Here is a 20,923-nt window from a genome sequence, read left to right as displayed (position 1 = left end):
AAGAAACTAAAAGAACACAGTTATTTGAGAATAAATTAAAGAGCTTATTCATAGGGAAAGGGGATTTTAGCCCTAGCCCTAGAAGCTGTTGGAATAGAAAGAGAATGGGAAAGCTGAAGTGACATGGGACAAAAACTCCCTTTTCTGTTATTTATATATATTTATTTATTTATTTATTTAAATATTTATAAATATTAAATATATATAATTTATAATATATAATTAAAATTCTATATTATATGTAAAAATTATATATATAATTAAATACAGTTTTATATATATATATATATATATTTTTTTTTTAATGGAGTTTCAATCTTTGTTGCCCAGGCTGGAGTGCAGTGGCGCAATCTTAGCTCACTGCAATCTCTACCTCCCGGGTTTAAGCGATTCTCCTGCCTCAGCCTCCCCTGTAGCTGGGATTACAGGCACCCACCACTGCGCCCAGCTAATTTTTGTATTTATTTACTTTTTTTTTAGTAGAGACGGGCTTTCACCATGTTGGCCAGGCTGGTCTTGAACTCCTGACATCGGGTGATCTGCCCGTCTTGGCCTCCCAAAGCGCTGGCATTATAGGCCTGAGCCACCGTGCCCGGCATCTGTGCTATATTTTTAAAAGAAAATTTAATGTACTGTACTGAATACAAGAGAAACCTAGGACAGTCAGCATCATCCATGAGGAAGAGAAAAGCACATCATATATTACACATCTGAACCATGAATCATATGTTCTTGAACACAGTCTTTACTAACTCAGAAGAAACTCCTAAATAGATCTCAGATATATACCACCCTAAACTTGGACACAGTTTGTAATTCTACTCATAATCTGAGGAAATCCCTTTTATGCTAGTGGATCTCTTGTTTTAAATGTTTATCAAATATTTTATAGTATTATTTTCATATTATGTTAACAGATGTCGTGTATTAAAGTTACCATGAAGACAGCATATTATATTGGGAAGAGCAGAGCTCGTAGATTCACAAGGTCCTACTACTTCTAACACTGAACTAGTTTTGGAACCTTGGGACCTTGGGCAGAGTACTTCCTGAGACTGAATTTCTTCATTTGAAAAATAAATAAGAAAGAAAAAAAAAAACTCCTTTTCATTTTTTTCTCATAGGACTTTTGTGAAGAGTAATGCTGATAATGTATGTGAAATACTTTGTACAGATTGATGGTGATGTTTATTATTTATATAATTTTAAAGAAATCTCAACGTCTATGTCTTCCTCTCAGAATTTTTCTTATTATATTCTAGGCCTTTAATGATTGACCCCCAGGGTCAAGCCAATAAGTGGATCAAAAACTCTGAAAAAGAAAATCAGCTTAGTGTTATTAAGCTATCAGATTCAGACTATATGAGAACATTGGAAAACTGTATTCAGTTTGGAACTCCACTTCTATTAGAAAATGTTGGTGAAGAACTGGATCCATCTTTGGAGCCTTTACTACTCAGACAAACTTTTAAACAAGGTATAAAGCAATTACTATTAATCTGTAGAACTGAAAGATGATTGAATTATCTTGGAGGCATGAAAGAAGCCTACTACATACATTTAATAATAATGTTAATAATGCAGAACTTCTGGCTCATTGTTATGAGTGAAAGGAAATTTGGAACAAGCTATCAGGAATGAACCTTAGCCAGGTATTCTAAGATAAATACCTTGCCCTCTCTTCATTGCCTTAACCACTGTTATCTAGACTGTCAGAGAACATAAAGAAGTTGAAGCCAGCTTGAAATTGCTTTATCCTGTGACCCTTGACCACCAAAAGTCTGTTGTTATGAATAGTGATGGTGTCAAACTCCTGGCCTCAAGTGATCCTCCTCCCTCAGCCTCCCAAAGTGCTGGGATTACAGGAATTAGCCACCATGAATAGTGATGGTGAATGTGGGCCTGAGTTGAGTTTAGGTAAACATTGTCCAGCTAATATCTTTCTGTTTATAAAAATTTGTCTCTGCCAAGTGCTATTACCTTTAAGAGCTTTAGTCATTTACATATATTTTAGAATCATGATTGAAAATTGATGGAGGAAGAAAGCTCAAAATAAATCTTGATTTACAAAGCTCTATGACAACCAGAGAAAATGTCCTATATTAACCCAGAAAGAGTCCTGCTGTATAATTGCTTACTTGCTGCTGTGTCTGTGACTTTTGCCACTCCTGTTTTCTGTATGTTATTATTATCATTTTGAGACAGAGTCTTGCTCTGATGCTCAGGCTGGAGTGTAGTGGTGCAGTCTCAGCTCACTGCTTCCTGGGTTCAAGCGATTCTTGTTCCTTAGCCTCCAAAGTAGCTGGGATTACAGGTGTGTTCCACCATGACACCCAGCTAATTTTTTTAGTATTTTTAGTAGAGATGGGGTTTCACCATGTTGGCCAGGCTGGTGTTGAACTCCTTACCTCCAGTGATCCACTTGCCTTGGCCTCCCAAAGTGTTGGTATTATAGGTGTGAGCCACTGAGCCTGGCCCTGTTTTCTATTTTAAATTACTTTAGGACCGTTTATTTGTAACCTAGGCAAGGCCATAGAAGTACATAGCATGAGGGGCTATGTAACTAGCTCACTTGTTATGCATTTGTTTTCTGAAATATAGGTGGCATTGATTGCATCAGACTTGGTGAGGTCATTATTGAGTATTCCTTTGATTTCAAATTTTATATCACCACAAAACTGAGAAACCCGCACTATATGCCAGAACTGGCTACAAAAGTGTCTTTGCTCAATTTCATGATAACTCCAGAAGGACTTGAAGATCAATTACTAGGTATTGTTGTTGCAAAGGAGAGGTATGTATTTTCTTAGATGCTTCTAGATGGTTTAAAAAGGAATATTTGTAGGTCATTAATATTTATGTTTTGTGAATATTTTAAAACTTTGTCAAATTTTATACTTTGTTACTATAAATAATCACATAATCTCTAAAATAGCCATCTGTAACAAGTAAGTTATAAGCCAACCGTGTTATATTGGGCTTTTAGTATGGGCAGTTGGGTTCAGGTTACCTGCCATTGTTACAGGAAAGGGATCCCGATCCAGACTCCACGAAAGGGTTGCTGGATCTCATGCAAGAAAGAATTCAGGGCGAGTCCACAGAGTATAATGAAAGCAAGTTTATTAAGAAAGTAAAGGAATAAAAGAATGGCTGCTCCATAGAGCAGCCCCAAGGGCTGCTAGTCGTCCATTTTTATGGTTATTTCTTGATTATATGCCAAACAAGGGATTATTTATGCTTCCCTTTTTTAGACCATAGAGGGTAACTTTTTGACATTGTCATAGCATTTGTAAACTGTTAGGGCACTGGTGGGGTGTAGCAGTGAGGAGGACCAGAGGTCACTTTTGTGGCCATCTTGGTATTGGTGGGATTTAGCCAGCTTCTTTACTGTAATCTGTTTTATCAGCAAGGTCTTTATGATCTGTTTCTTGTGTTGACATCCTATCTCATCCTGTGACTTAGAATGCCCAACCGTTTGGGAATGCAATCCAGTAGGTTTTAATCACATTTTACCCACCCCCTGCTCAAGATGGAGTTGCTCTGGTTCAAATTCCTCTGACACCATGACTTCTGACTTGTACCTGAATGAGACAGAAATTTCACCCCTAGGAATCTATGCTATGACCGTAAATAGAAATACATTTATATATATATATATATGTGTACACACACACAAGATATTAATAAGAAAATGCTTAGCAAAAGAAGGAAAAAGCAGCATATAAAACTATATCCAGAATAGGTGATATTTTGTTTAAAAAAAGATTGATATTTATCTACATATATAAAAAGAATAAAAAAAGATTGGAAAGGAATACACTTCAATGTTAAAGTAATTATCTCTGTGGTGGTAAGATTATGGGTAAGTTTTATTGTTTTCTTTATACTTTATATATGTACTATTTTTATTTTAAGTTCCAGGATACATGTGCATGATGTGCAGGTTTGTTACATAGGTAAACGTGTGCCATGGTGATTTGCTGCGCTTATCAACCCATCACCTAGGTATTAAGCCCAGCATGCATTAGCTATTTTTCCTGATGCTCTCCCTCCTCCTACCCACCCTGACAGGCCCCAGTGTGTGTTGTTCCCTACCCTGTGTCTACGTGTTCATATTTTTCAGCTCCCACTTATAAGTGAGAACATGTGGTGTTTGGTTTTCTGTTTTTGTGTTAGTTTGCTGATGATAATGGCTTCCAGCTCCATCCATGTCTCTGCAAAGGACATTATCTTGTTCCTTTTTATGGCTGCATAGTATTCCATGGTGTATATGTACCACATTTTCTTTATCCAGTCTATAGTTGATGGACACTTAGGTTGATTCCATGTCTTTGCTATTGTGAATAGTGCTGCAGTGAACATACACGTGCATGTACCTTTATAATAGAATGATTTCTATTCCTTTGGTATATACCCAGTAATGGGATTGCTGTGTCAAATGGTATATCTGGTTCTAGGTCTTTGAGGAATCACCAGACTGTCTTCAATGGTTAAACTAATTTACATTCCCACCAACAGTGTAAAAGCGTTTCTATTTCTCTGCAGCCTCACCAGCATCTGTTTCTTGACTTTTTAATAATCGTCATTCTGACTGGCATAAGATGGTATCTCATTGTGGTTTTGATTTACATTTCTGTAATGATCAGTGATGTTGAGCTTGTTTTCATATGTTTGTTGGCCACATAAATATCTTCTTTTGAGAAGTGTCCTTATGTCCTTTGCCCATTTTTTAATGGGGTTGTTTGTCTTTTCTTGTAAATTTGTTTAAGTTCTTTGTAGATTCTGGATATTAGACCTTTGTCAGGTGGATTGATTGCAAAAATTTTCTCCCATTCTGTAGGTTGTCTGTACATTCTGATAGTTTATTTTGCTGTGCAGAAGCTCCTTAGTTTAATTAGATCCCATTTTTCAATTTGTGTTTTTGTTGCAGTTGCTTTTGATGTTTTTGTCGTGAAATCTTTGCCTGTGCCTATAATAAGGATTAAAGACTTAAATGTAAAACCCCAAATATGTATTTTTTTTAAAATGAGGAAAAACACTATGGTACCTGGGAGGGCTACTAGTAAAGAATTGCTTCTGGAAGGAAATCTGATTTCACTTGAATCTAAATGTAGCATTATCAAGTGGTCTAATAAATGAAATCGAATTAAAAGTGAAAATATGTAACCATGAAGTGTTTCTTCCAATATTTAAATCCCACTTGTAGAGTGTCCAATATGGAACCATGTCATAACTTATTCTATTCCATGGTAGACTGTGTTATTTTGAAGTTTCATCCCATTTTTGTTTGATATAAATGTTTTGACACAAGTGCCAATTTTGCCTTTCACTTAAAGAACCAGCTTTATCACCAGTCATCCTTTCAATGTGTGCTACTATAGAAAATATGATGAAAATGAGACTTAGTGATGACAAAATCAAGAAATAGATAAGAAGTTCATACTTTGAGTTTCTTCTCCAGTTCTTACTCTTGCATACCAGCTATGCCATATGGATAAGTCTAATGTGTTCTTAGACTTACTGTGGCACATGTTATTGCCACATTTTACGTGTATACAATTAATGCTTTTCTTGCTTGAACTTCTCAAATAGTTATATGTGTGAAAGTTTTCTTCCCTTAAAGCAATTAACCACCTTAGTTTGTGTTAGATGTCTACAAATTTGTGATATGTAACACTTAGATATAAATTTAGATAAAATACTACAAATTTGGACTAAATGTTTCTATCTTTTTAGACCAGAATTAGAAGAGGAACGAAATGCCCTGATTCTTCAGTCTGCAGCTAACAAGAAACAGCTGAAAGACATAGAGAAAAAAATTTTAGAAACATTATCATCATCAGAAGGAAACATTTTAGAAGATGAAAGTGCAATTAAAGTCTTAGACTCTGCCAAAATGATGTCCAATGAAATAACAAAGAAACAGCAGGTGAAAAAAGAATCCTAGAAGTCTTTTGATTTAAATCTTAAGATTATTAAGAAATCTTAAGATCCTGATTTGTTTCCAGTCCCCAAGGAAGGTGTTGGTGTAGCCTTGCTGGAAAGGAAAAAGAAAATGATAAAATACCAAAACATAAATTTAAACTCATAAGAGAATATCTTACTGTTAAATTATTTAAAACCTGGTCTGATCTATATGGTATCTATACACAGAAGAAATAAATTTAGAATGAACGTTTTAAAATATATTTATTATTATTGGATAGGTATTATTACAAGTATCAGATAGGTATTATTATTGGATAGGTAAGGTATTATTAGAAGTATTGGATAGGTATCCAGTTTCAGCTTTCTACATATGGCTAGCCAGTTTCCCCAGCACCATTTATTAAATAGGGAATCCTTTCCCCATTTCTTGTTTTTGTCAGGTTTGTCAAAGATCAGATGGTTATAGATGCATGGTGTTATTTCTGAGGGCTCCGTTCTGTTCCATTGGTCTATAACTCTGTTGAAACTGGATTCCTCCCTTATACCTTATACAAAAATTAATTCAAGATGGATTAAAGACTTAAATGTTAGACCTAAAACTGTAAAAACCCTAGAAGAAAACCTTGGCAATACCATTCAGGACATAGGCATGGGCAAGGACTTCATGACTAAAACACCAAAAGCAACGGCAACAAAAGCCAAAATAGACAAATGGGATCTAATTAAACTAAAGAGCTTCTGCACAGCAAAGGAAACTTCCCTCAGAGTGAACAGGCAACCTACAGAATGGGAGAAAATTTTTACAATCTACCCATCTGGCAAAGGGCTAATATCCAGAATCTACAAAGAACTTAAACAAATTTACAAGAAAAAAATGAAATAACCCCATCAAAAAGTGGGCAAAGGATATGAACAGACACTACTCAAAAGAAGACATTTATGCAGCCAACAGACACATGAAAAAATGCTCACCATCACTGGCCATCTGAGAAATGCAAATCAAAACCACAATGAGATACCATCTCACACCAGTTAGAATGGCGATCATTAAAAAGTCAGGAAACAACAGGTGCTGGAGAGGATGTGGAGAAATAGCAACACTTTTACACTGTTGGTGGAAGTATAAATTACTTCAACCATTGTGGAAGACAGTGTGGCACTTTGTCAAGGATCTAGAACTAGGAATACCATTTGACCCAGCCATCCCATTACTGGGTATATACCCAAAGGATTATAAATCACGCTACTATAAAGACACATGCACACGTATGTTTATTGTGGCACTACTCACAATAGCAAAGACTTGGAACCAACCCAAATGTCCATCAATGATAGACTGGATTAAGAAAATGTGGCACATATAGACCATGGAATACTATGCAGCCATAAAAAAGAATGAGTTCGTGTTCTTCGCAGGGACATGGATGAAGCTGGTGGAAACCATCATTCTGAGCAAACTATTGCAAGGACAGAAAACCAAACACTGCATGTTCTTACTCATAGGTGGGAATTGAACAATGAGAACACTTGGACACAGGGTGGGGAACATCATACACTGGGAGCTGTCATGGGGTGGGGGGAGTGGGGAGGGATAGCATTAGGAGGCATACCTAATGTAAATGACGAGTTAATGGGTGCAGCAAACCAACATGGTACTTGTATACATGTGTAACAAACCTGCACATTGTGCACATGTACCCTAGAACTTAAAGTATAATTTTAAAAAAATATTGGAAAGGTATTATTATTGAACAGGTAAGTTATTATTATTGGATTGGTAAGGTATTATTAGAAGTATCAGATAGGTATTATTATTGGATAGGTAAAGCAGGATACTTGGGTTCATTCAGGTTTTAATTGACTCTTCTCTGGAAAATTGAATTTGAGAGCTTGTCTTACCTCTGTTTCTGATTGGAGTTCTTGGTGGAGGTAGTTGCTAGTTGATTGAACAATTAGGGATTCTAGGAATAAATAGAGATTCTTAGACATTAATTCCGTCATTATCTTGTCATTCGTCGGGAAGACAGGTATAAGAGTTGAGGGTGGCAGGTAGAGGAAGAGAGGCAAATAGTTTACAGCCAATAATGGATTTATTGCAAATTCACCTAACAGAGCTGAATGAGATATATATATATATATATATATATATAGTGTGTGTGTGTATATATATATAGTGTGTGTGTATATATATATAGTGCGTATGTATATATATAAGTGTGTGTATATATACGTATATATATTTTTTGAGACAGAGTTTTACTCTTGTTGTCCAGGCTGGAGTGCAGTGGCGTGATCTCAGCACACTCCAACATCCACCTCCGGGTTCAAGGAATTCTCCTGCCTCAGGACTCCTGAGTAGCTGGGATTACAGGCGCCCACCATGCCAGGCCAATTTTTTTGTATTTTTAGTAGAGACAGGGTTTCATCATGTTGGCCAGGTTGGTCTTGAACTCCTGATCTCAGGTGATCTACCCGTCTCGGCCTCCCAAAGTGCAGGGATTACAGGCGTGAGTCACCGTGCCCGGCCCTGAATGATATTTTTATGTTACTTCTCTTTTTATAGAATAATACAATGTTATAAGCAGAAAAGGCGTTAGCAAGCAGTTATTTTTTGCACTTCATAGTTGAGGAAACTAGGGCCCAGAAAGGTTGGCTAAGGCCCAAGTTTACACAATTAAATGGTATTACAGAATGACTTCTGTAAGCTAACGTTATTGATCTTCAGGCCTTTTGGTTTTCCTTGACCCACCCAATGAATTATGTGCTCCTTCACTTTAGGGTAATTAAAAAATAAAAAGAAAGCTAAACAGAGATTGCACTAATTACTCATCATCTCTGCACTGCTCCCCACCCCACAATGCACCCTTGCTCTGGGACAGAGGACTTGTTGTTGTTGTTGTTGTTGTTGTTACAGAGTTTCGCTCTTGTTGCCCAGGCTATAGTACAATGGCACCATCTTGGCTCATTGCAACCTTCGCCTCCGAGTTCAAGCGATTCTTCTGCCTCAGCCTCCTGAGTAGCTGGGATTACAGGCATAAGCCACCACACCCGGCTAATTTTGTATTTTTAGTAGAGATGGGGTTTCTCCATGTTGGTCAGGCTGGTCTCGAACTCCCAACCTCAGGTGATCCGCCTGCCTTGGCCTCTCGAAGTGCTGGGATTACAGGCATGAGCCACTGTGCCTGGCTGGACAGAGGACTTTCTAAAGCTCTAGGCACCCTTCCCTTTTGGATAGATTTATTTTGCATGAATGTGATGGTAATCATGCTTTCTGGTCACTTGTACTATTTGGTGCTTTGTTTTGTTTTGGGTTTTTCATCTTGGGGGAGCCAAAGGAGTAGGGTCTTAGAGTAATATTCTGTGGCAGCCCCCAGTCTGGGACCATGGCTGAGATATTCTGTAGTGTCTCCTTTCCCAATACCCGTCCATCAGAGCAGAACAAGCTGCTACTTGTTCCCTCACCAAACTAGTTTTCAAAGGGGAGAGAAGATAGGGAGCATTTATTGGCTTATTTCCTATTAAGACTCGAAGAGAAAGGAAGATTTAATTATTTATTGGTTCAAGTGCTTTATCTTACAGTGAGAAAAATATAATAAATGATAGGACCTTTCTGACTGGATCCCACTGATCATTGCAAACATAGTTTTAAATTCATTATATGGTTTGAGCTAAAACATACTCTGTATCTGACCCTGACTTCTATTCTACCTTTCTCCACCTACCTAAGAAAAAACATCTTCAGGGAAGGCTCTCCAAAATAGTCAAAATCTGCTTTTCCCTTTTCCCTGAACCCACAAGATTAAACAAACAAACAAAACTTTACAAGTTTATTCTAGAGATTTCAAAATTTACCCCTACTGCTACTCCAGTGGTTTCCTGACTGAAGTTTAGTCTTTTTTATTTTTGGAAAGTATAATATATATAAATATCACAGACCAGAAAAAGTTTTACAAGTAATGAGTTGCCCTCTTTTAACATCTTAACATATACTCACAGTATTTCTTTCTTTCTTTCTTTTTTTTTTTTTTTTTTTTTGAGATGGAGTTTCGCTCTTGTTGCCCAGGCTGGAGTGCAATGGCGCAATCTCGGCTCACAGCAACCTCTGCCTCCCGGGTTCAAGCCATTCTCCTGCCTCAGCCTCTGGAGTAGCTGGGATTACAGGCATGCGCCACCACGTCCGGCTAATTTTGTATTTTTAGTAGAGATGGGGTTTCTCCATATTGGTCAGGCTGGTCTCGAACTCCGGACCTCAGATGATCCACCCGCCTCAGCCTCCCAAAGTGCTGGGATTACAGGCGTGAGCCACCGTGCCCAGCCCATAGTATTTATTTCTTAGAAAATATCTTGTTCTTTGATTTTAGAACACTAATGGTAAATGATTTTTAAAATGTATTTATATTTCTTAAGCCTAGCATTTCATGCTAAGGATTCAAGTTTAGCAAACACTGTAAGTATGCATAGATCAAGCCATGGAATACTAATTAAGTTATTATTTAATGTTTAAAAATTACGGCCGGGTGCAGTGGCTCATGCCTGTAATCCCAGCACTTTGGGAGGCCAAAGCAGGTGGATCACCTGAGGTCAAGCGTTCGAGACTAGCCTGACCAACATGGTGAAACCCCATCTCTACTAAAATACAAAAATTAGCCAGGTGTGGTGGTGGACGCCTGTAATCTCAGCTACTTGGGAGGCTGAGGCAGGAGAATCGCTTGAACCCAGGAGGTGGAGGTTGTAGTAAGCTGAGATCATGCCGCTGCACTCTAGCCTGGGTGACAGAGCAAGACTCCCTTTCAAAAAAATAAAAGTTATATTTCCTGTTTGTTTCTGCTTGCTATTGCTATTAATTGCAAAATGACATTTGAATTGAAAGTCAAAGTTTAAATAGCAAAAGGTTTAAGTGAGAATACAAAAATTATGCTTTCTTACATAAGATGTCATTAATTCCCATTGTCGATAACTTTGTTTTACTTATTTATAGTTAGGACTGAGATTCCAAACTTATTTTTAGTTCATTTGTGGTTATACAGTGTAATTTTGGGGAAAGTTTGTTTGCAAGGAACAGGAACCCACTTGAATTAGCTAAAATAAAAAAGATACAAGGGAATAATTTATTTTCTCAATTATAGGACATACATCCAGACCTCAAGGATGAACGGAAGGCCTTAAGTTTCTGTACTCTCTGTCTCTTCCTCTACCTCCGGGGCTGTGTGGTCATTCTGTGCTTCCCTCTACTCTATCTGAAGACCAGTTTCTTTTAAGACTTTTGTATCTCTTCCTTTATATACTCATCTAGCATGTAGAAACCAACATGTAGAAAAAGTCCCACTACCTTTTACTCCTAATGCCAATGCCACCTAACTTCAGTTTCCGAGGCTTTTAAAGTTTTAATTCTCCAGGGAAATTTTTGATTACCTTATCTTGGATCTGGTTCTAGCCCTGCCTCTTGATTAAATTAGCAACAAACAGGATTTGATATAAACATGACTACATAGGCATACCATTCATCAGAGTCTGTGGATAGCATTACCAAAGAAAGAAGAGTGAGTTGGAATAGTGCTCGAAACATTTTTTTCTATAGAATATCAACCTATCCGATTGAGTTGAAGAGCTATTATCTTGGAGAACATTTTTCTTTGGGGGTTGAATATCTACAGCCCTGTTAAGTTAGAAAATTAAACATATGAGAAGCTAGTTGAAAAAGCATTCTTGTATATAAAACCATCAATCAACAAATAGTTTTGAATACCTACTTTGCCAGACTGTGCTGGGTTCCAGTACACGAGTTAACACCTTAAATATACGCACATGTACACTTGCTCTCCATCCCTCTCTCCCTCTTTATCTCTGACCTGTTAAGATAAAAGAAGGTGAATGACTACAGTAGACACAGGTCAGTCAGTCAAAGAATAAGCAAAGCTTTCTTATTTGGTATGTCTCAAGAAAGAGATGGTTGGTAGCTGATCATACTGTTAATCTAAAGTTTAAACTTGTTTTTTCTTTTTTCCTCTCTTGTTCCTCCTTTCTCTCCTTCCCCTTTCCTCCATCCCTAGTTCTTTCCTTCATCCCCTTTTGTTTTCTTTATTTCTGGCTTTTAGTATGATAAAGCCCTCTCTTGTAAACCATACTTAAACTCATATACTGTTATTGCACTGAGATTTTTTTAAAATATATATACTTCATTATATGAAAAGTACATAACTAAAATACTCTTCCTATTTCTTAATCTCGCTTTTTCTGTTCTCCTAGATTGCAGAAAAAACAGAACTCAAAATAGCAGAGTCTCGAGAAGGCTATAGACCCATCGCCAAACACTCGTCAGTGTTATTCTTTAGCATTGCAGACCTGGCTAATATTGATCCCATGTATCAGTACTCTCTCACGTGGTTTGTGAACCTTTATATCAACTCTATTCATGACAGGTAAACATTCTCTCGCTTTATTCATCTTCCCGAGGTTGGATTTTCACAGCCCTTTCCATTTAAAAAAATGTAACTTTTTTTTAAAACTTATATAATGTATATCCATTACAGAACATTAAAAATGTGGAAAAATGGCCGGGTGCGGTGGCTCACACCTGTAATCTCAGCACTTTGGGAGGCTGAGGCAGGCAGATCACTTGAGGTCAGGAGTTCGAGACCAGCCTGGCCAACATGATGAAACCCCATATCTACTAAAAATACAAAAATTAGCCAGGCGTGGTGGCGGGCACCTGTAATCCCAGCTACTCAGGAGGCTGAGGCAGGAGGAGAATCGCTTGAACTCAGGAGGTGGATGTTGCAGTGAGTCGAGATGGCACCCCCGCACTCCAGCCTGCGCAACAGAGTGAGACTGTCTTAAAAAATAAAAATACAAAATAAAAAAGTGGAAAAGTGAAAGAAAAAAAGACATGAAAGATAATCAAAACCTCTTTTCTATTTTAAGTTGTTGTTTCACTCCTACTCAAGATTTAGGCATGGAAGGATTAACTTTAGTTTTTTTCTTCTCTCTCTTAAATATTTCAATGAGGCAGGCACATGATTTATTTTTCCTAGCAACTCTAGCGCATCTTTCTCCAAGACTGAGGTCTCTAAAAGGCTTCAGTCCCACATTTCTTTTTTCTTTATTTTATTTATTTATTTATTTATTTATTTATTTATTTATTTATTTATTTTTGAGACAAGGTCTCACTCTGTCACCCAGGCTAGAGTGCAGTGGCACAATCACAGCTCACTGCAGCCTCAACCTCCCAGGCTCAGGTGATCCACCCAGCTCAGCCTTCAGAGCAGCTGGGACTACAGGTGCACACCACTATGTCTGGCTAATTTTTGAATTTTTTTGTAGAGATGGGGTTTCACCATGTTGCCCAGGCTGGTCTCGAACTCCTGGACTCAAGAAATCTGCCCGACTCAGCATCCCTAAGTGCTGAGATTACAGGAGTGAGCCACTGCACCTGGCCCCACATTTCTAATAGTTTTCTAGATATTTGCACTTTAATCACTTAATGAATGTATGCAAATTTTGGAGTCAGACTGGAGTTGGGGATTACACCTCAGTTCTGCCACATACTAGCTGCATGCCTACAGGCAAATTCGTTAACGTGAGGTAATTGCCTCAATTTTTCTTATCTATAAAATTGGGATAATAATAATACCTACCTTTTGGGTTTTTATGAGAATTAAATGAGATAATTTTTGTAAAGTGTTTATAACAATGTCTGGTATTTACTAACTGCTGTACTTGTTAAGTAAAATAAAAATACGACTTGAGCCAATCATGTATGCTGTGAGAAGTTTCTACATTGGCTCTTGGTAGAATAACCTCTGCTGAGTGATTGAAATCCCTTCTCAGTTGGGATTTGGAATTTGAATTTATACAACCCATATGATGAAGGAAATTCAAGTTAAAGAATTGACATAAAAATGTCAATATCAAGTTTTGGTGAGGATGTGGAGTAATTGGAACCCTCTTACACTGCTGGTTGGATTTTAAAATAAGGTGGCCACTTTGTAAGTTCTTCAAAATATTAAACCTAGATTTGCCATATGACCCAGCAATTCCATTCCTGGGTATATACCCAAAAGAATTGATTGCATATGTTCACACAAAAACTTAAAGTTAAAAAAAAATTTAGGCATAAAATGCTATATTCAACTTACTTGGGTTAGTTTTCCCCCCTTCAACATGTGATGTTATTCATGTGAAATACAGTTAGGTTCATTTGTTTATTTTTATATTTCATTTTAGGGTTTTTCTTCATCTTTGTTGACTTTAATTTTATTATATGTTTGAGTACATGAACCATTAATGACTCCAAAATTCAATCCTGTACCAAAAGATTTACTCAGAGAAGTGTCAATACCACCATCCCTTCCATCCCATTCCCATGGTCCTATGTATTACTTTTTAAAAATCAAATTTTTAATTTTGAGTTAAGTGTAGATTCACATGCAATTATGAGAAATAATAAAGATCTCATGTACCTTTTACCCAGTTGCCCCAATGGTGACATTTTGAAAACCTGTAGAACAATATCACAACCATGATAATAACATTAATACAGTCAAGATACAGAATATTTCTACCACCACAAGGATCTCTGTGTTCCCCTTTTATAGCTATACCCACTTCCTTCCCATCCTTACCCCTTCCGTAACCCTTGGCAACCACTAACCTGTTCTCCATTTCTGTGCTTTTGTTACTTCAAAAATTTTATATAAATAGAATCATATGGCATGTAATGTTTTGAGATTGGCTTTTTTTACTCAGCATAATTCTCCAGGGATTTGTTCAAGTTGCTGTGTATATAAATATTTGGCTCTTTTTGATGGCTGAGAAATAATTCATAGCATGAATTTACCACAGATTAAAATCTGTTTAATCATCTACCTGTTGAAGGACTTCTGAATTACTTCCAGTTTGGGGTTACTATGAATAAAACTGCTATAAACATTCATGTACGTGTATTTGTGAATAGAAATTTTTATTTCTCTGAGATAAATACCCAAGAGTGCAATTGCTGGGTTATGTAGCAGCTGTTTGTTTAGATTTTTTTTCTTTTTTTTTTTCTTTTTTTTTTTAGCAAACAAGACATAGGGTTTATTGAGGACTCTTTTTTTAAACTTTTACATTCAGGGGTACATGTGCAGGTTTGTTATACAGGTAAACTACATGTCACAGGGGGTTAGTATACAGATTATTTCATCACCCAGGTAATAAGCATGGTACCCAATAGGTAGTTTTTTGAACCTCACCGTCCTCCTACTCTCCACCTTTGAGTAGGCCTCAGTGTCTATTGTTCCCTTCCTTGTGTCCATGTGTACTCAGTGTTGTAAGTGAGAACATGTGGTATTTGGTTTTCTGTTCCTGCATTAGTTTGCTTAGGATAATGGTCTCCAGCTCCAAAGGACATGAGTTCATTCCTTTTGGTGGCTGTGTTGTATTCCATGGTGTATCTGTACCACATTAGTTTTATCTAGTCTACGATTGACAGGCATCTAGGTTGATTCCATGTCTTTGCTATTGTGAATAGTACTGTGATGAACATACGCATACGTGTCTTTATGGTAGAACAATTTATATTCCTTTGGGTATGTACCCAATAATGGACTGCTGGGTCAAATGGTAGTTCTGTTTTAAGTTCTTTGAGAAATCTCCAAACTGCTTTCCACGGTGAACTAATTTACATTCCCACCAGCAGTGTATAAGTGTTCCCTTTGCTCCACAACTTCACCAGCTTCTGTTATTTTTTTGACTTTTTAATTATAGCCATTCTGACTGGTGTGAGATGGTATCCCATTGTGGTTTTGATTTGCATTTCTCTAATGCTTAATGATTTTAAGCATTTTTTCATATGCTTTTTGGCCATGTGTATGTCTTCTTTTGAAAAGTGTCTATGTCCTTTGCCTACTTTTTAATGGGGTTGTTAGTTTTATGCTTGTTAATTAATTTAAATTCCTTACAGATTTTGGATATTAGATCTTTGTCAGATGTACAGTTTGAAAATATTTTCTCCCATTGTGTAGGCTGTCTGTTTACTCTGTTGATAGTTTCTTTTGCTGTGCAGAAGCTTTTTAGTTTAGTTTTTAAAAATTTTTTAAAGAAAGTGACAGCCTGGGCAACATAGTGAAACCCCATCTCTACAAAAAATACAAAAAAACTAGCTGGGCATGGTGCCATGCACCTGTAGTCCCAGCTACTTAGGAGGCTGAGATGGGAAGATTACTTGAGCCCAGGAGGTAGAGGTTGTAATGAGCTGTGATCATGCCACTGCACTCCAGCCTGGGTGACAGGGTGAGACCCTGTCTCCAAAAAAAAAAAATAAAGTGCCAAACTATTTTTAGAATGGCTACATCATTTTATATTCCCATAAGTATTACATTTAAAAATTAAACTGAAAAAAATTGAAAGCCATATATGCTTATTGTAAACATTTTTTGGAATATGAGAGTATAAAGAGTATCAGTCAACTCCACCCAGTAACTATATTTATCCATATGTTTTCTGACTTTTTATGCATTTTATTTTCTTTTTGAGACGGAGTCTCATTCCATTACCCAGGCTCGAGTGCAGTGACGTGATCTCACACTGCAACCTCCACCTCCCGGGTTCAAGCAATTCTCCTGCCTCAGCCTCCCTCGTAGCTGGGATTACAGGCGTGTACCACCACCCCTGGCTAATTTTTGTATTTTTAGTAGAGATGAGGTTTCACCATGTTGACCAGGCTGGTCTCAAACTTCTGACCTCAAATGATCCACCCACCTCGGCCTCCTAAAGTGCTGGGATTACAAGCAGGAGACACTGCGCCTGACCTTTTCATGCATTTTTAAATTATGTAGATTTTTATCTAGACTTTATGCTTCTTTGGGGCGGGCAAATGTTTCATAATGCTTTGTCTGTTACATTTCCCTCCCTACCATAGAGCCTTACACTAATAGAGATTTAATAGGCATTTTTTTTTTTAATTAACTGATTGTCTTCAGTCACTTTGGGGCAGAATAAGATATTTAGGATTTGGAAAATAGAGAGATGGTGTAAACCATATTTCACTTTCTCAGAGAATTATACCCTACATTTTAAAACTTTTTATTTTAAAATACTTACAGACTCACAAGAAGTTGCACACAGAAAAATACGTGCAGAGAGGTTTCACGTACCCTTCATCTTGTTTCTCCAGTGCTAGCATCTTGCCTATAGTACAACCGAGAAACTGACATTGCTACAACCCATAGAGCTTATTCAGATTTCACCAGTTTTACATGCCCTCGTGTGTGTATCTTTATACGTTTTTAATAGTGATACTTTCATAAAATAAAAAGTGTATATGTTAATTCACATTGCTTATATTTTCTTAGTTTTGTTTGACAATACGTTTTCCTTCTTTTTAACTTTAGTAACAAATCCAAGATTTTGGAAAAGCGCCTACGATATTTAAATGACCACTTCACATACAACTTATATTGTAATATATGCCGATCACTATTTGAGAAGGACAAGCTGTTATTTTCCTTTTTATTATGTGCCAATCTTCTTCTGTAAGTTACTTGCTTTTACCATAATTTATTTATTTTTAAAACCTCCCTGGAAAATCAAATCTGTGAATATGTCTTCTCACAGAAGTCTATATTTTTCTTCGCTTAAGTCATGATTTTACTTGTGCATTTCACTGATAACAATGGCTTCTACGATAGTATCGGTGTTTATTTAATTTTTAAAATTTATGTAACAGAAAAGTTCACAGAGTATTAATGTACAGTTCAACAAATTCTTACAAAGGGAGGATCTGGTGACGAAATAGAACATTTCCCCACCATCCTTGAAGCACTTGTACTCCTTTCAGTTACCACCTCCTTACTACCCCAAAAAGGTAACTACCATAGACTCATTTATAACACTGCAGATTAGCTTGACATATATATATATTACATATATGAATGAAAGCAAGTAATATGTATTCTTTATTCTTTTATCTGGCTTCTTTTCCTCAACATTACTTTTGAGATTCATCCATGTGGTAGCATGAGGCTAGTTCATTTGTTTTGACTGCTTTACAGTATTCCATTATAAGAATACATTGACGTTACCTGTTCTACTCAATGAACAGATGGGTTGTTTCCAGTTTGGCACTATTATAAGTAATGGTGCTATGAACACTCTTGTGTATAAATGTAGAGGGCACATGTGCACACGTTTCTGTTGGGAAGATGTCCAGAAAGAAAATTACAAATTGTTTTCCAGAATGATTGTACCAGTTTATATCCCATTAACAGAATTTGAGCATTCCATTGCACCAGATCCCCACCAACGTTTTATTTTTGTTGGTTTTTTGTTTGTTTGTTTGTTTGTTTGTTTTGAGACAGTCTCACTCTGTTGCCCAGGCTGGAATGCGGTTGTGGGATCTTGGCTCACCACAACCTCCGCCTCCCGGGTTCAAGCGATTCTCCTGCCTCAGCCTCCCGAGTAGCTGGGACTACAGGCGTGCACCACCATGCCCAGCTAATTTTTGTATTTTTAGTAGAGACAGGGTTTCACTATGTTGGCCAGGCTGGTCTCAAACTCCTGACCTCGTGATCTGCCTGCCTCGACCTCCCAAAGTGCTGGTATTACAGGTGTGAGCCACTGCACCCGGCCCCCACCAACGTTTTATATTGTTGTTAAAAAAATCTGTTTTGGTATGTGATACATATTATTGCATCATGGTTTGAATTTATATTTCTCTGATGACTAATGAAGTTGAACACTTGTTCATGTTTATAGGCCACTTGGAAATCTTCTAGTGTACTTGTTCACATCACTTGTCCATTTCTCTATTGGGTTTTTCTTAGTGATTTGTGTGAGTTCTTTATATATTCTAGACACAAATCCCTTGACAATTGTATGTGACAAATTGGCACTCACTCTCTAGTTTGCTTTTTCTTTCTCTTAATGCTGCCTTTTGCTGAGCACAAGTTCTTAATTTTAATATAATCTGATTTATGGTTCTTGCTTTGTGAAAACTCTTTTCACAGCCCAATATTATGAAGGTATTCTCCTATATAACCATCTGGAAGCTTTATTATGCGTTTCACATTTAGATGTACAAGCCACATGCAACTGATGTGTGTGTGTGGTCTAAGGAAATGTCAAATTTTACATTTTTACCATGCAGCTCTCCACTTGTTGAAAAGACTTGGCCTTTTCCCTACTGCTCTGTAGTGCCTTCCTTGCCATAAATAATACATTCATATATCTAGATCTGTTTCTGGACTGTCTATTCAGTTCCATTAATGTGTATGTGTGTAATTAATCTTGATTTCTGATAGTGTTTCATCTTGTTCTTTAATTTTTTATTTATCTCAACTGGTTTTTGGGGGAACTGGTGGTGTTTGGTTACATGAATAAGTTCTTTAGTGGTGATTTCTGAGATTTTGGTGCACCCATCACCAGAGCAGTGTACACTGTACCTAATGTGTAGTCTCTTATCCCTCTCCACCCCCCACACTTTCTCCCAAGTCCCCAAAGTCCAACGTACCATTCTTATGCCTTTATGACCTCATAGCATAGCTCCCATATATGAGTGAGAACATACGAAGTTTGCTTTTACATTACAGTAAGTGAAGCGAGTTACTTCACTTAGAATAATAGTCTCCAGTCCGGGTGTGGTGGCCCACGCCTGTAATCCCAGCACTTTGGGAGGCCGAGGCAAGTGGATCGCCTGAGTTCAGGTGCTCAAGACCACCCAGGGCAACATGGTGAAACCCTGTCTCTACTAAAAATACAAAAAAATTAGCCAGGCATGGTGGCGCATGCCTGTAGTCCCAGCTACTCAAGAGGCTGAGGCAAGAATCAGTTGAGCCCTGGAGGCAAAGGTTGCAGTGAGCCAAGATAGCGCCACTGCATTCCAGCTTGAGCTACAGAGTGGGACTCCGTCTCAAAATAAATAAATAAAGTAGTAGTCTCCAATTCCATCCAGGTTGCTGCGAATGCCATTATTTTGTTCCTTTTTATGGCTGAGTAGTATTTTGTGGTATATATATGTCACATTTTCTTTATCCACTTGTTGATTGATGGGCATTTGGGCTGGTTTCATATTTTTGCAATTGCAAATTGTGCTGCTATAAACGTGTGTACAGGTGTCTTTTTCATATACTGACTTCTTTTCCTCTGGGATACCGAGTAGGGGGATTGCTGGATCAAACAGTAGATCTACTTTTAGCTCTTTAAGGAATCTCCACACTGTTTTCTGTAGTGGTTGTACTAGTTTACATTCCCACCAACAGTGTAAAAGTGTACCCTTTTCACCGCATCCACGCCAACATCCATTTTTTTTGTGTGTGGCCATTCCTGCGGGAGTGAGGTGGTATCATGTTGTGGTTTTGATTTGCGATTCCCTGATAATTAGTGATGTTGAGCATTTTTCCATATGCTTGTTGGCCATTTGTATATCTTCTTTTGAGAATTGTGTATTCATGTCCTTAGCTCACTTTTTTATGAGATTGTTTGGCTTTTTTTCTTGCTAATTTGAGTTCCTTGTAGATTCTGGATATTAATCCTTTGCCAGATATATAGATTGTGATGATTTTCTCCCACTCTGTGGATTGTCTGTTAACTCTGCTGATTATTTCTTTTGCTGTGCAGGAGGTTTTTAGTTTAATTAAGTCCCATCTATTTATCTTTGTTTTTGTTGCATTTGTTTGTTGTTCTTTTACACAAGAGTGTCTTTCTTATTCTTGGATCTTTGCATTTCCATATAAATATTAGCATCATCTGGTCAAGTCCAAAGTGGAAAGATACCCAGTAATGCACTGAAGTTTTGATGAGGAGTGCATTGGAACTGTAAATCAGTTTGTGGAAAATTAACAATTTCACAATACTGAGTGTTTCAATCTAAGAACATAGTATGTCACTCGATTTTCCTTAGTTCTTTTTCATTTCACTCTATAATGTTTCATAGTTTTCTATATCTTGCCCATCCTTTTTTTGAAAAGGCTTTATTTTGTAGAGCAATTTCAGATTCGCAGCAAAACTGAGCAGAAGATAG

The 20,923-nt window shown here is 37.3% G+C and overlaps 1 protein-coding gene across 9 annotated transcripts in view; it reads left to right on the top strand.

Annotated features, from left to right (window-relative positions):
* Window positions 1-20,923, top strand: part of DNAH12 (dynein axonemal heavy chain 12) — a 262,335-nt gene that overhangs the window by 186,512 nt on the left and 54,900 nt on the right. For 7 of the 9 annotated variants that reach the window (XM_047447667.1, XM_011533468.2, XM_047447666.1 and 4 more), the window contains 5 exons: window positions 1,263-1,477; window positions 2,602-2,794; window positions 5,737-5,929; window positions 12,175-12,347; window positions 17,298-17,438. In XM_047447667.1, coding sequence (XP_047303623.1) covers window positions 1,263-1,477; window positions 2,602-2,794; window positions 5,737-5,929; window positions 12,175-12,347; window positions 17,298-17,438 — 915 coding nt within the window. Of the gene's footprint in view, window positions 1-1,262; window positions 1,478-2,601; window positions 2,795-5,736; window positions 5,930-6,368; window positions 6,804-12,174; window positions 12,348-17,297; window positions 17,439-20,923 lie in introns of those variants that run through there. The other 2 variants (XM_047447668.1, XM_011533471.3) reach the window with 2 other exon arrangements.

Source organism: Homo sapiens, chromosome 3 (assembly GCF_000001405.40).
Source record: "Homo sapiens chromosome 3, GRCh38.p14 Primary Assembly".
Taxonomy (NCBI): Eukaryota; Metazoa; Chordata; class Mammalia; order Primates; family Hominidae; genus Homo; species Homo sapiens.
This window is presented reverse-complemented; position numbering and strand designations above follow the sequence as displayed.